The sequence below is a fragment of the Homo sapiens genome, chromosome 9 (assembly GCF_000001405.40).
Source record: "Homo sapiens chromosome 9, GRCh38.p14 Primary Assembly".
NCBI lineage: Eukaryota > Metazoa > Chordata > Mammalia > Primates > Hominidae > Homo > Homo sapiens.
The window spans coordinates 28,018,345-28,032,921 of record NC_000009.12 but is presented as its reverse complement, the minus strand read 5'-3'; the positions used below and the strand labels follow the sequence as shown (position 1 = coordinate 28,032,921).

Here is a 14,577-nt window from a genome sequence, read left to right as displayed (position 1 = left end):
AATCTTTCTCAGACAAAAGAAGGCAGCCGCCTGATGGAAAACTTTATTTTAAAATTGTATCCCTTCTGTTGTACAGTGTTTCCCTGATGTGGCACCATCTACTAGACCCAAACCAAAGTAGAACTTTTCAGGGACACAGTGTCCATTGTCATGGGGTGAAAATGTGGAGTGTTTCTGGCAGGATCTATGTCACTGTATGCTCACTCATGGGTTATAGGTTTTCATTCCAAGATTCCTGGTCTGTCGCCAACTAGTTCTGGGACGATGGGCAGGATGTTTGAACATTTTGGGTCTCAGTGTTTTCATCTGTAAAAGGGACTAAAAACATTTATGTTGCCTCCTTTGTCAAGCTGCTTTCAGTACTGAATGAGAATGCCCAAAGGCACTGAGAGATGGAAGATATTTCTGGCACCTGGTTCTCTTAAGCTGTAACTAGATTCACCATTGATTGCCTGGAATCATAAGGCATGAGCAGTTAGTTATGTGAATCATATGTAATGTTGACAAAGACAGGAATCTCCCTCTGCTAAGGCAGTGGGAGCCCATCTGTGATCAGCATTCCTATAGCCCTGGAGACTGAGGTGGGGTGCTGGGCAGCGAGGGCAGGCAGTGTGTGCGCTTTCATAATAGAGCAACAAATGCTTCCTCAAACCAAGTACCAAGAGAAAACAGCCTGCACCTGGACCTGGGTTTTTATCATGTTGTATTTTTTTTTTAAGACTTGAATTAGATCCTGTGTGGAATTGTGAATGCCCATATTACCTACTTCATGACAGGACAGCAGAGCAATCGGTTTTCAAAGGCCAAAGCTGTTTTTATTTTCCCCCCAGCTCTGCGGTTTTTCTTTGCTGTCTTCATCCCAGTGAGGCTTTCCCCCCCCACCCCTCATTTTGAGTCAGCAGACTGCTAGTAACAAAGGTACCCAGCTGTTCTCTGAGCCCTAATCTCCAAACAACTTTTAATAGGTACTGCCTGCCTGGCACACAGTTGGCTGTCACAATAATACACCAGATTGAAGGTATTTTAAGGAGGATTTGGAGCATCATGGTGAAGCGTGGTTTTACCCAACAGTTTAAGAATAGAATCACTAATATCTCTCTGTAATGATCTGTTTTCCTTTGATAGACAAGTGTGTGTTCTGGACAGCTTGCTGCCATACAGCACTGAAAGGGAGCTGGCAGAGGTCTCCCAGGTATTCCCAATCAGCCCTGGACAAACAATAATCGGCTTAGCCGACACAGACAGAGCAGATCATAATTATCTCAACTAATCTCATCCCAAAACCAATGTTGTGTGGCAGACACCAGACTGTCCCCACTTTAAAGATGAGGAAAGTGAGTGAGAAGTAGCTAAGGTCACACAGCAAGTAAGTGGCAGATCCTAGATTCCTACTAAAGCAATCTGATGCCATCAAAATCCATCAGCTTTTTAGAAATTTGTAAGGTGATGGATTCAATTAGATTGATTTAATCATTCCACAATGTAAACATAAGTCAAAACATATTGTAACCCATAAATATAATTATGTCAATGTTAAATTTTTTAAAAATTGTAAAAAAAAAAAAAAACCATCCTGTTTTTCTACTGAAGTGGGTATAAAGAGACTGCTTAATATATGCAAAACAAGGTTAAACATGGTGGATGGTCCCATTTTATTTAGTGAGTATCTCCAAAGCTAACACAAGCCCACCACTTAAATTTTTAATATATCAGAGAAATCACATCCTTTATATAGTCTCGGCCTCCAGGAAGATGAGTGTTTCTCCCATTTTGAAGGCTCATTTACAGCCAAGGAGAAGCTTGGATATGAGGAAAGCTTGATCTAACACTATAAAGCCTCATTAATCGACTCCATTAATTATTATAGAATCAATATTAGAATTGGGAAAGTATAAGATTGATCATATCATTTAAATCCTTGTTCTCAGGAAATCTCTCTCTCTCATCTATCTCTTGCTACCCCTTTGTCTCAAAGTGCAATGTGGCCTTGGGGAGTTCAGCAATTTGTCAATGGTATGCAAGCGAATACAGGATTTACTTAAATGACTTCAGAGTCTCATTTTGAATCTTTGTCTGCTTTTTTTGTTTTTCCATTTCCTTCATCATTGGATTACTCCCTGCCACTTTTTGCCCTTAATTGTACCACCTTAAGCTACAATGTAGTGTGCTGTTGATAGTAGGGTTACAACATGTTAGAATTTTATTTCAAATAAGATTAATTAGCTTCTGAGAATATGAGTAACTCAGTCACTCAAACTGAAAGGGATGGTGCATTACTGCAAGTGCTGTGATACCAGGTCCTGGAGCAGACACTTAATATCTGCTGTTAGATACTTAAAGCATTGAGTAGCCAACACTTATTATTTCCCACTTCCAGGCCATTTTATACATTTGGGATTGCCAGATATTTAGCTTATAAGGGAGTGAAGTGTCTCTGGACCTTTTAAAATTTCATCTTTGTGATACAACAGTAACCTTAGGAATTTTGTAAGACTTCTTCTGAGTTAATTGCATAAATACCAATGAGTCTTAGTTTAGGGTGTTGACTTGTTAGTCAACACAACTTATTAATAAAAACTACATTGTGATAAAATATATTGACATGAAAGTAAATATACAGTTGGTTTTATACTTTGCTATCTCAGAATCTCAGAAATGGCCTCACTTAAGAAGTGTTTTCTCATGTTCCAAGTTAGTGTTGAACATGAGTCATTGGTGCCTGAGTTCTCACATTCTATTAATAAGCACTTGTCTGTGCAGTGTTTGATTCTTCCCTATAATTTTTGGCTTTACCTGAATGATCAGTGATAGCCAATTACTGTCTGCAGTATATGGAAGCTCTTACAAGTCAGAATACCTTCTCCTTGGGGATCAGCTTTACTTGTGTATTCTGATATCTGGTGGCCTTACATCACCTTCTCTGATTTCTGGGATTCTAGATTCATTTTCTTACGCTCTTCACTTGAATTGTCCTCTCCTTCAGTAGGAATCTTCCTATTTCTCTAGGGACTATGGAATTATTGTGCCTTTCTGACCTATAACCTTGATCCAACCAACAAATGCTTTCAAAGTTATATAATTGCAAGTTAATAATACATACAACAGTTGAAGAATTTGTACATGCCAGGAACTATTCTAAGAACTTCCCACATGTTATTTTATATAATATCAGCACCCTATGATATTTATCCTTAATTTCTAAAAGAGCTAACAATTTTCACATATTAGTTTTGACTAATTATTAGTTTTGACTATCTCAATAAATTCTTAAACGTATCAGTTATTGCTGATTTCAGGTCACTTTTTATATCCGACATCAACTCCTTCATTTTATTTTTGACGGTTAGAAGGATATAAATGTGGTTCCTTTCATAGCTGCTCCTGCTGCTGGTACTCAGAGTGGTAAATTTCCCCACCTGCCTCTCAATATCAAAGTGGCTTAACTATCTCTCTTGCCAAACAGATCAACAAGCCTTGCATCTTCGTTCTCCTTTCTGTTAACCGAGTAGCTCTGAGAAGTACCCTGCCTGTTTTTAATTTACACTTTAGTGTTTGTCAATATATTGGCCACAGATCAAACGCAGCAGAACAGTGGGATGCTTGTTAAAATTCAGATTCCTGGATCCCACTCCCAAGAAACGATCCTGTGGATCTGACCTCGCATTTTATACTAGCCTCTAGTGATAGTAATATGCACTAAAGTTTGAAAATCACTGTTCTAGATGAAAAATTGTCTTATCACTTGGCTTCTTAAAGGGACCTTATTTTTTGATATTTAAATACCATAAAACAAATGAATTGAGCAGATTTCTTCATAGGGAGAAAAATGCAATGCTGAAATTTCTCTGCATAGATGGTCTTTTATATACTCACTCTCATCTAGCCCCGCCTATCCTATTTTTGAAAGTTCCTGTGAGCCTCCCTAAGAAGCACCCAATAAGCAGTTGTCTGTGCAGTGTTTGATGGTTGCCTTGGGGCCTGCTGTACCAAGATTAAATTGGTTCCATAGGCTCAGAAGAGGTAAAATTTGGATGATTACAAATGTGTGCTTGTGTGTGTCTGTATACTTATATATATGCTTTCCCTATATGAGTGTAGGCAGCCCTCCATATCTGTGGATTCTCATCCATGGATTCAACCAACTGCTCATCAAAAATATTCAAAAAGAAAAAAAATACAAAAAACACAAATACAATATAACAATTTGCATGGCATTTATATTGTTTTAATGTTACAAGTAATCTAGTGACATGGAAGGATATGCATAGGTTACATGCAAATACTATGCCATTTTTTATACAGTACTTGAGCATCTTCTGGTTTTGGTATCTATGGGGGTCCTGGAAACAACCCCCTGGATACATCAATCTACCATTCATTAATTTCAATGATTATATTATGTATATTGTTATAATCTTCTCTGGGTGTTACGTGTATATACATTTGTATATGAGCAAGTATAGCATCTATAGAAACCTAAATCCTACTTCCACCTTTTATACTGTAGATGTCCGTAATATCCTACCAGCTCATCATGATGTAACACTGTTGCTATGACAGGTAGAGCAGCTTGAAAAGCTGCTAAAGTGAAAGATGAGAATCGATGAAATAAAGATTTTATATGATGGCATTGCACCTGCCTAGTTGTGGAAAAGCTATGTTAAAAGTCTACCAACCTGAAGCCTTCTAATTCTGTTCAATATAAGCTCTTTGGTATGTTTTCTATATAAGCCTAAACTTAGCTTCATTATCTTAAAACACCGGTCAAGAGAGTCAATAACAGAAGTTCAAATATAGCATGAGTGATGAAAACAGTTTTGAGAGAAAAAAGACAAACACTATTTTCTTCTCTGAATTCTTGGTGCCTAGCAGTTTGACACCTGCTCAATAAATAACAAATAAGTGAGTGGTCAAGAAAAAACCTCCATTTATGAATCATTTTATGTTCTTTAAGTTTGATTTCCTCTTTAATTGGATATGGCCCACCACTCCTATATACTTTTGGGGCCAATCCTGGACACATGAGATTTCGTCTTAGACATATTGAGGCAAAAATTTATGGCAGCTAAATTCTTAATCCAAGAGCATCACTACCAATTGCTGTCTACTGATGAATATATGGGAAGCTCCTTAAGGCCAGGGCTAGAATGATAGCTCTTATCTACTAAGCAGACATGACGTGTTTCATTGTGCTAAATACTTTATATACCACCTCGCATTTAATCCTGCCAGAAAGTTTGTAAAATATGTTTTATTTTCCCCATTTTAAAGAAACGGAACACAGAAAGGTTGAGTAACTTGCCCAAGGTCACATTACTAAGAAAGTGGTGAAACATGGGTTGTCTGCCTCCACCTGTAGGATTAGACAGACTTGCACCTTACATGCTGTATTCCACCCATGCTTGCTTCCCCAGTATTTGCCGTAGCTCCCTACAAATAAAAGGTGCTGAATAATTTTTTTGTGATTATGTGTAGTTCAATAAACTGGCACACAAGAGATTGTTATTGCTTCAGGTAATTTTAGGCATTATTTGGACTATGCCTCAGTCATGGTAGGTAAGATAATGAACTACAGCCAAATTCCAGAGTATGCATGCTTGAACCACCACTTGCGAGATCTTGGACAAGTTACTTCTCTATACCTCAATTTCCTCACCCGTAAAATGGGGATGCTTTAGTGTAAGAATAAATACATCGATATGTGTAAAGTTGTTTGAAGAATGAATTCTGGCATAGAGTAAATCCATTTAAGTGCTTCTAGGGTTATCAGTGTTACTGTTATACAAGAGGCAAAATATAGTGTTCAGTGACTTTCATCTGTTTAGTAATGTATTATGATGCAACAACAACAGGTCAAGTTTGTTAAGTGAATGAGAATGTCATGGTGCTTGCCCCTATACAGCTGGCAGCCTGTCAGGAAAGATGGACCATTAGATAACTACAATAAGCTATGAAGAGTTGCATGCAAATTTAGGAGAGGTGAGCAACACACACAGGAGATCTAGGTCGTGAAAAAGCCTTGAATACTGAGATCTTCAACATTTTTAGACAAGGGCAAAGTTTAGTCATAATGACATCTGAGGCACTTATAACTGGCAATAAAAAATAAATAGTTCAAGGAGCAGAGAATGGTAGCCAAGAGAATAAGGATGTGGTTACAGTAGTTCAAATGTGAGGTTACAATGCTTCCATCTAGAAACAGGGCAGAGGGAAGGAACGGAGGGGATACCTCAAAAAAATAAGAAACAGTAAGATGTATTGACTGACTTGAAAATATAAGAACTTGCTTAAGGTTTTCCAGGCATTTAGTTGCAGAGATGGATCCAAAATGCAAGCTTTATAACTTGGGGTCCCCATGGTAAGAATGCAGTAGTGCAGTAATGAAAAGACTTTACATTATTATGTGGTTCTCAAAGTGTGACTACAGCACCATCCCAGAACGCCTTAGAAATGCAGATTATTTGGTCCCAGCTTTATGCAGAAGAAACTCTAGGGGCCCAGCAACCTGTGCCTTATCAAGCCATCCAGGTGATTCTGATGTTCAAACTGTTTGAGAACCACTGCACTAACTTACTCACTCATTTAATATCTATTATGCCTTAGGTGGATACATTTGCAAAGTGGAATCCTCCAGGTGCCTTTAAGGAGTTTACAGTCTAGTAGGTATGTAAACATCAAAAATTACCCGAGTAATAAAATCTTAGCAACAAAAAGGGCATGAGTACACTTAACAAAGGGATTTAAACTTACCAGAATAAACAGAAGTTCCTGGGAGAAGTATTATTTAGGATGAATCCTGAAACATAAACAGGAGTTTTAGGTAAAAGCAAACAGTTGTAGAGAAGCAAAGGAAGGCCTCAGTAGCTAGAACACAGTAAGTAAAGGCAACAGGAGACTGGATGAGGATGAAGCATTGGAGACCCAAATGATCATGCAGCCTCCTTGGTCTTCATCCTCTGTGAAATGGAAAGCCACTGAAGGAATTTGAGGAGAAGAGCAGCTTGATGAGATTTGCATTTTTAAATTACTACTTTGGCACTACATGTGTAGACCATATTTAACCCCCTGTAATCTACACAGGTATGAATCCAGCCATCCTCAGCAGTGGCACCGATATCTTCAAAAGTGTCGTTTGTCTGGCTCTCTGCCTTCTGGATGGGAAGCCTACCCTGATGTCTCTCTTCAAATCTGTATGCTTTTCTGATCTAACAATTCTCCTAGCTAGTTCAAAAGCAGTTATTAGAGTATGAGTTTTAAACTGGCCTCCAACCATGAAACCACCAAGAGTTTCAATTTAATTTCCCTTTCATGCCCATTCACACCTTGACTCCTTTTGAGAAAAACCAACTATTGATACAGATAATAAGCTTGTTTTATGCTTTGGAAGGAAAAAATGCTCAGCTGAATTCATTAAATACAGGCCTCTCATGATGGAGTCTACATATAAGTCAGGCTTCTTTTAGCTGAGAAAAGAGTGTCCACTGAGGTATGAAATGTTTATTGTAGCTAGTTCCTGCAAGCGCTGCCAAAAGAGATAGTATTTTCAATGGCCAAAAGCCGAAATGCACAGGACATGAATTATGTATGCCTGTCTCTTTAAAACAAATCAACATAAATTATCCCATAGGGCAGACTGCAGGAATTGAGGGCCCCTGTAAGAAATATTTTGTCTTGGTCTTCTCAGCATCAGAAACTTTGGGATGTAATAGTGGTGACTGAATGAAATTCCAAATCACAACCTTGAGTGTTTAAGGGGAAAAAAGGGTAGGAGCAAGCAGTGACCTGCGTTTCTCAGCATCATCTGTCAAGATACCGGTAATCAACACATGATTATTATTCTCATCAGCCCAAAGCATGAAAGTAATTGAGTGAAAGAAATCCTCACATTATGTGAAATGATTACTGCCTTTGAGCCATAATAAACAATGATCTCGCCCGGGTGCTAGGCAGCAAAACAAATGAGGGCTGCCTGCTACTGGTGCAGTGCCAGAATCATTACCAGAGTCTACAGTCACCAATCCCCTACTCTCTAGTAAGGACCTGATTTCATTGTCGCGGCTGGGGAGATACTGCTCAAATGCTGCTCAGATGCAACATTTGGCTCCACGTCGGGGAAGCTGGCTGCCTGGCACAAGCCTACTCTTCAGAACTCAAGTTCACATTCACCATGTGGCTCCCCAGAACAATGAATGAGGATATCCATGAAGATGCAATGACTTTGGAACATTGGAACTCACTTGTTGGTTACAAATGTAAGCTGTCTAACCAGGCAGCTAGGCAAGCATAAGGCAGTTGGAGGCATGATAAAGGAAAGGTATTACAAAAGGAGGCTTTGGCCTTCTCAAAGAGTGAGGCTGGAGATAAATGCAAAATCTGAAGATCTGAAAGAGCTCTCTGCTACTGGCCCTGTTCCATCAAAGCCTGAACAAGATGAAGGAATCCTTGGAGCAGTTCTGAATGTTCCCCACAAACTGAGCTAAGAAGAGCCACTGGATTGTTTCATAAGATGGTTGGAATTGATGAGCTCAGGCTTCAACCTCCCTTGTGCAACCTTGCAAAGCAGGGTCAGCTGTTACCCACCCTCCACCCATCCTCCGGGCACCTTTGCACAAACTAGATGCCACCCTCTTTTTGCCTCTTAGCCTGGTTGTCCTTGTAGAGCACAACCTTCACAACTGTAGGAAGCAGCCCTGAAAGTACTTATTTAAAAATCATGCTGATTTGCTTAAAGGTATCACCAGAAATGCATGGTTATTTCTCAGAAAGGGCCATTTCCAGTTGCAGTTCCCACAGGTAAAGAGCTTGGAAGTGGTCACTCCTGTTCTTAAAACTAGAAAAATCTGAGCAAACTGAAAAATTGGTGACATTTCTTGGACTCCTCATAGAATTGAGAATACAAAGCAAACTGCTATCCCAGAATCTAAACAGAAAGGTGAATCCAGAGACGCAAAAATGAAATTCGCTTCCCTGGACAGATGCTACTGGAACCATAAATGGGTAGAAAAACTTCAGTGGTAGATTTGATGGATTGTTGGAGGCTGAGTATGGACTAGCTAAAGGAAAAAATTCCTGTGTGGCATAATCTTAGGGGGCCCCATACTTTGGTAAGTTTTATCTCTAGGAAAGTCACCAGGTTCTCATGTTAGAAACCCAGGAAAGATCTCTTCTTGGCTTTGGCAGGGGAGAAGAAGAAGAGTTACCATTGTGAAATATGCCAAGAGACTTCTTAACAAATGACAAATCCAGAGGAAAAGGCTTTGTCCTGCCAGGAGAAAGATATATTTCTCTGACTTCAGCATCCTCTAGCTTTCCTGTTTCAACTGGGCTGCGGAGAAGCTAAGAAAACTTGTAAGGTCATAACCACAAAACGCAAGCCCACTGAAAGACTGAGATTGGTTCATAAGAGTATAGAACATTTTCCCTCTCTACACCTTACCACCATACCAACAAGTTTCCAATATAGTAACAGTGGGTTACAGATGAAAGAACTGCCAGGCATAGATTCTACTTAATGAAGTGACAAAAACAAGGATATTACAGGAATTTGAAGCCTCTAATTCCTCTATTAGGGTACCCAAATACAGCAACCATTAAACACAGTTCAACTTCTAGCCAGATAAACATTAAACTTTTATGGGTTAAGGTACATTTACCTCAGCTCCTATTACCTGAAACATCATGTCCAACTTTGAACAAAAAATTACAAGGTATAGTAAAACAAGAAAAAAGTCTGAAGACAAAATGCAAACATCAGAATCAGACTGATTCTGTGACACAGATTTTCAAATTATCAGATAAGGAATTTAAAATAGCTGATTAATATGTTAAAGGCTCTAATTGAAAATGTAGAAAATACACAATAACACATGATTAATATAATCAGAGATATGGAAAACTCTGAGAAAGAATCAAAATGCTAGAAATAAAAAATAGAATGAAAAATGTCTTTGAGGAGTTCATTAGTAGAACAGACACAGCTGAGAAAAGAAACAATGAGCTTTTAAGATAAGTCACAATAGAAGCCTCCCAAACTGAAAAACAAAACAAAACAAAAAATCAGCAGAGAACATCCAGAGTTGTAGGACAATTTCAAAAGGTATATCATAAACATAATTAAAAGAGAAAGGAGAAGAGAAAACAGAAGAAATGTAAGTAATAATGACGAAAATTTCCCAAAATTAATGACAGATACTAAACCACAGAATCCAAGAAGTTCAGCAAACACCAGCAGGATAAATATCAAAATGAAGGAAAGGAAGGAAGGAGAGAGAAAAAGAAGAGAGTTATGCAAGCAAGAACAGAATGAAATAAAAAATATTTAAACTGTTGAAAGGGAAAAAGTCCACAAATATAGAATATCCAGTGAAACTCAACCTCAAAAGAGAATTAGTTTTTCAGACCAGCAAAAGCTGAGGGATTTCATGACCAGAAGACCACTCTGCAGATGTTAAAATAAATCCTTCAGGGAAAAGGAAATTATATAGGTCAGAAACTCATACCTATATTAAGAAGAGTGTAACAGAAGGAATAAGGAAGGATAAAATTTTATTTTTCTTACTTCTAATCTTAATTGATATAAAAGAACTGTTTAATAGTAGCAATGATGTATTGAGTGATTATAGAAGATAGGACGAGTGAAATGAATGATAGCAATGTCACGAAGAATAGGAGGGAGAAATTTCAAGGATATTCTGTTAAAATACCTGCACCACATATCAAGCAATATAGTGGTATTTGAAATTGGACTTTATTAGTGAATTATGTATATTGCAAAATTTAATTTTTAATAAAATTTAATAAGGTATAACTGATATTCCAAAAGAGGAGCTAAAATTGAATCATATAAATATTCAACTAAATCTAGAGAGGGCAGAAAAGAACCAAGAACAAATGTAACAAATATAAAACAATTCAAATATGGTAGATATTAATCCAGTTTTATCAATATTACTTTAAATATTTATGGTTAAATGCAGTAATTATGGAACATTTTAAAGTGAATTAAAAATACAAAAACAAAACACAACTCCATGTCATCTGCAAGAAAACCCACTTTAAAGATCAAGATTCGGCTTAAAAACAAAGATGGAAAAAATTTTACTGTGCTCCTACTAATCAAAAGAAACAGAAGTAGTGTATTAAACGAAACTGACTTCAGAACAAGGAAAATTATCTGGGATAAAGAGCATTATATAAATAGGTCAGTTCTCCAAGAGTACATAACAATCCAAGATGTATGTGTACCTAACCACAAAGCATCAAAATAAGAGGCAAAACTGATAAAATTCCAAGGAGAAATGGACCAATTCACTATTATTGTTGGAAACTTTAACAGCTCTCTTTCAATAATTGGTAAATCAAGCAGGCAGACAATCAATAATGATACAGTTGACCCAAACAGCTCTACCAATCAACTTAATCTAATTGACATTTATAGAATATGGCATCCAGCAACAGGAAAATATACATTCTTCTGATACTCACGTGGAGCATTCACCAAAATAGACCACACTGTGGGCCATAAGACACCTCAAAAACTTTAATAAGAATTATACAATGTACTTAGACTACAATGGGATTAAAGTAGAAATCAATAACAGAAAGACAGCTAGAAAATGTCAAATATTTAGAAATTAAAAGACACTTGTACATAACACATGGGTCAAAGAACTCTGAAGAATACCTTTAAATGAAAACGAAAATACTACTTATTAAAATGTATGATACAGAAAAATCAGTCCTTAGAAATATTTTGTAGCATCAAGTGCATATATTAGAAAAAAACATCTAAATAATTTAAGCTTCCACCATAGGAAATTAAAAAAGAGCAAGTTAAGCCTAAAGCAACAGAAGAAAAGAAATAATAAAAAAAAATTGAGCAAAAATCAATGCAATGGAAAGAAAGAAAACAAAGAAAAGAAATGAAACCAAAAGCTGGTTCTTTGAAATGATCAATACAACTGATAAATCTTTAGCCAGGCTAGCCAAAAATAATAATAAGGAAAAGCCACAAATTACCAATATCAGAAATGAGAGAGAGGGGTCATTACTATAGATTCCAAGGAGGTTTAAATGATAAAGAAATGCTACAAGCAACTATTCCTGCAATTTTGTTACCTTAGATAAAGTGGACTAAATCCTCAAAAGACACAAACTACCAAAACAGGGAGAAATTGATACAATCTGAATAGGCTTACCTCTGTTTAAGATGTTGAATCAATAATTACCTTTCAAAAAAATAATGCACCAGGCCCAGATGGTTCCACTGGTGAATACTACCAAAGATTGATGCTAATTTTCCACAGTCTCCTCAAAAATAGAAGCAGAGGTAACACTTTCTTGTTTTGTTTGTTTTGTTTTGTTTTGTTTTGTTTTGTTTTGTTTTGTTTTTATAAGACAGAGTCTCACTCTGTTGGCCAGGCTGGAGTGCAGTAGTGCGATCTCGGCTCACAGCAACCTCCACCACCCAGGTTAAAGTGATTCGCATGTCTCAGCCTCCTGAGTAGCTGGGATGACAGGTGCCTGCCACCACACCTGGCTAGTTTTTGTATTGTTAGTAGAGTCGAGGTTTCACCGTATTGGTTAGGCTGGTCACAAACTCCTGACCTCAAGTGGTCTGCCCTCCTCAGCTTCCCAAATAACACTTTCTAGTTTATTGTATAAGCCCAGCATGACCCTAACACTGAAACCAGATAAAAGGAAAGGCTGTGCTCTCAGTGCTCCTGCCCAGTTCCAACAAGAGTCATTTTCCCACTTAGAGAGGGATTGCATGCTGTGTGCTAAATGTTAACGCAGAGATGGCTCATTCAGACTGGAAGTGACCATAAGCATCATCTAGTGTAGTGTTTCTGAGGCTTGGCTATTTCTATGAATCACTTGGGGGCACTTGTACAACACATCTTCCCGGGCTTCTCTCTGGAATGTCTCATTTGGCTGATTTCAGGTGCTCTTGGGATTTTATTTTTAACAGTTGGCTGAAAGGATTCTGAAGATTGGCTAAGTTTGGGAAACAGACCTGGCCCATCTCCTCATTTGACAAGTAGGAAGAACTTGAGTCCAGGAGGCAAGGGGAATTTGCCAAAGGTTACTCAGCAAGTTGGTTAAATTGGTGAAAAAACTGAGGCTTAAATCCTGAATTTGATAAGCAATATAATATATACACACATATATATACATTATTTTTAGAAAAAATATTGCTTTTGCATCCCTAATGAAAAAATAGAATGGTAGAGTCAGTATTCAGAAAGTATAGATAAGCAAAAAGAATAAATTAGGAATAGGCCATGACCCTACCACTTAAAGATAAGCCCTGCTCAATTCTGATGCATCTGACCACTTTATTTGCTATTTTACTCATAGCAAATATGAGCAAATACTCATAGATTAAATATACCTGATTATATTATTACAATATTCTTTGTCACTGCCTTCAGTTTGTTTCATTGGTGAGTTTAGTATTCCCCCAGAGTCACATAAAAGACCAGATTAGGGTTCTAATCTTCCTTTGTTTCTTTCCATGGTTCCCTACCCAGCACTCACTAGTTGTGGTGAGCTTTTATTATGTGTTTGCTAATCCATTACTAAGGAATGGAAAAAAAAAAACATATATTCCCCTAGGTGCCATAGTTGGAAACTGATTTTTTTTTTTAAGTTTTAGGTTCAGCAGTATATGTGTAGCTTTGTTATATTAGCAAACTGCATGTCACGGGTTTGGAGAGCAGTTTATTTCATCATTCAGGTAAAAGCATAGTACCCAATAGGTAGATTTTCAGTGCCCCTCCTCCCATCTTCATCTGTCAAGTAGGCCTCAGTGTCTGTTTTTCCCTTCTTAGTGCCCATGTGTACTCAATGTTTGGCTCCCATGTATAAGTGAGAACATGCAGTATTTGGTTTTCTGTTCCTGTGTTCATTTAGGATGATGGCCCCCAGCTCCACTCATGTTGCTGCAAAGGACATGATCTTATTCTATTTTATGGCTACATAGTATCCCATAGTGTATGATTCCTCATCTTGTGAATAGTGCTGCAATGAATATGTGTGCATGTATCTGTATATAGTAATTTGTATTTCTTTGCGTATATACCCAATAATGGGTTGCTGGGTCAAATGGTAATTCTGTTTTAAGCTCCTTGAGAAATCACCACACTGTTCTAATAGCTGAACTAATTTACATTCCCCCCAGCAATGTATAAGTGCCCCCTTTTCTCTTCAACCTTGCCTTCATCTGTGATTTTTTTTGACTTTTTGGTAATAGCCATTCTGACTGATGTGAGATGGTAACTCATTGTGGTTTGTATTTGCATTTCCCCAGTGATTAGCGATGCTGAGGATTTTTTTCATATGCTTATTAGCTGCATGTATGTCTTCTGAAAAGTATCTGTTCATGTCCTTTGTCTACTTTTTAATAGTTTGGTTTTTTGCTTGTTATTTTAAGTTTCTTAGAGTCTAGATATTAGACCTTTGTTGGATGCATAGTTTGCAAATATTTTCTCTGATTCTATAATGGGAGAATATATTTCATTCTGTATCGGCTGTGCAGAAGTGCTTCAGTTTAATTAGGTCCCATTTGTCAATTTT

General features: G+C 37.5%; 1 protein-coding gene across 18 annotated transcripts in view; it reads left to right on the top strand.

Annotated features, from left to right (window-relative positions):
* LINGO2 (leucine rich repeat and Ig domain containing 2) overlaps window positions 1–14,577 on the top strand; it is a 1,275,985-nt gene that overhangs the window by 1,180,680 nt on the left and 80,728 nt on the right. For 2 of the 18 annotated variants that reach the window (XM_011517724.3, XM_017014305.2), the window contains exons 2-3: window positions 6,604–6,663; window positions 7,081–7,190. The exons of 14 other annotated variants lie outside the window; for them this stretch is intronic. The gene's annotated coding sequence lies outside the window, so the exon portion shown is untranslated. Of the gene's footprint in view, window positions 1–6,603; window positions 7,191–14,577 lie in introns of all 18 variants that reach the window. 2 more of the 18 variants (XM_017014303.3, XM_017014304.2) reach the window with 1 other exon arrangement.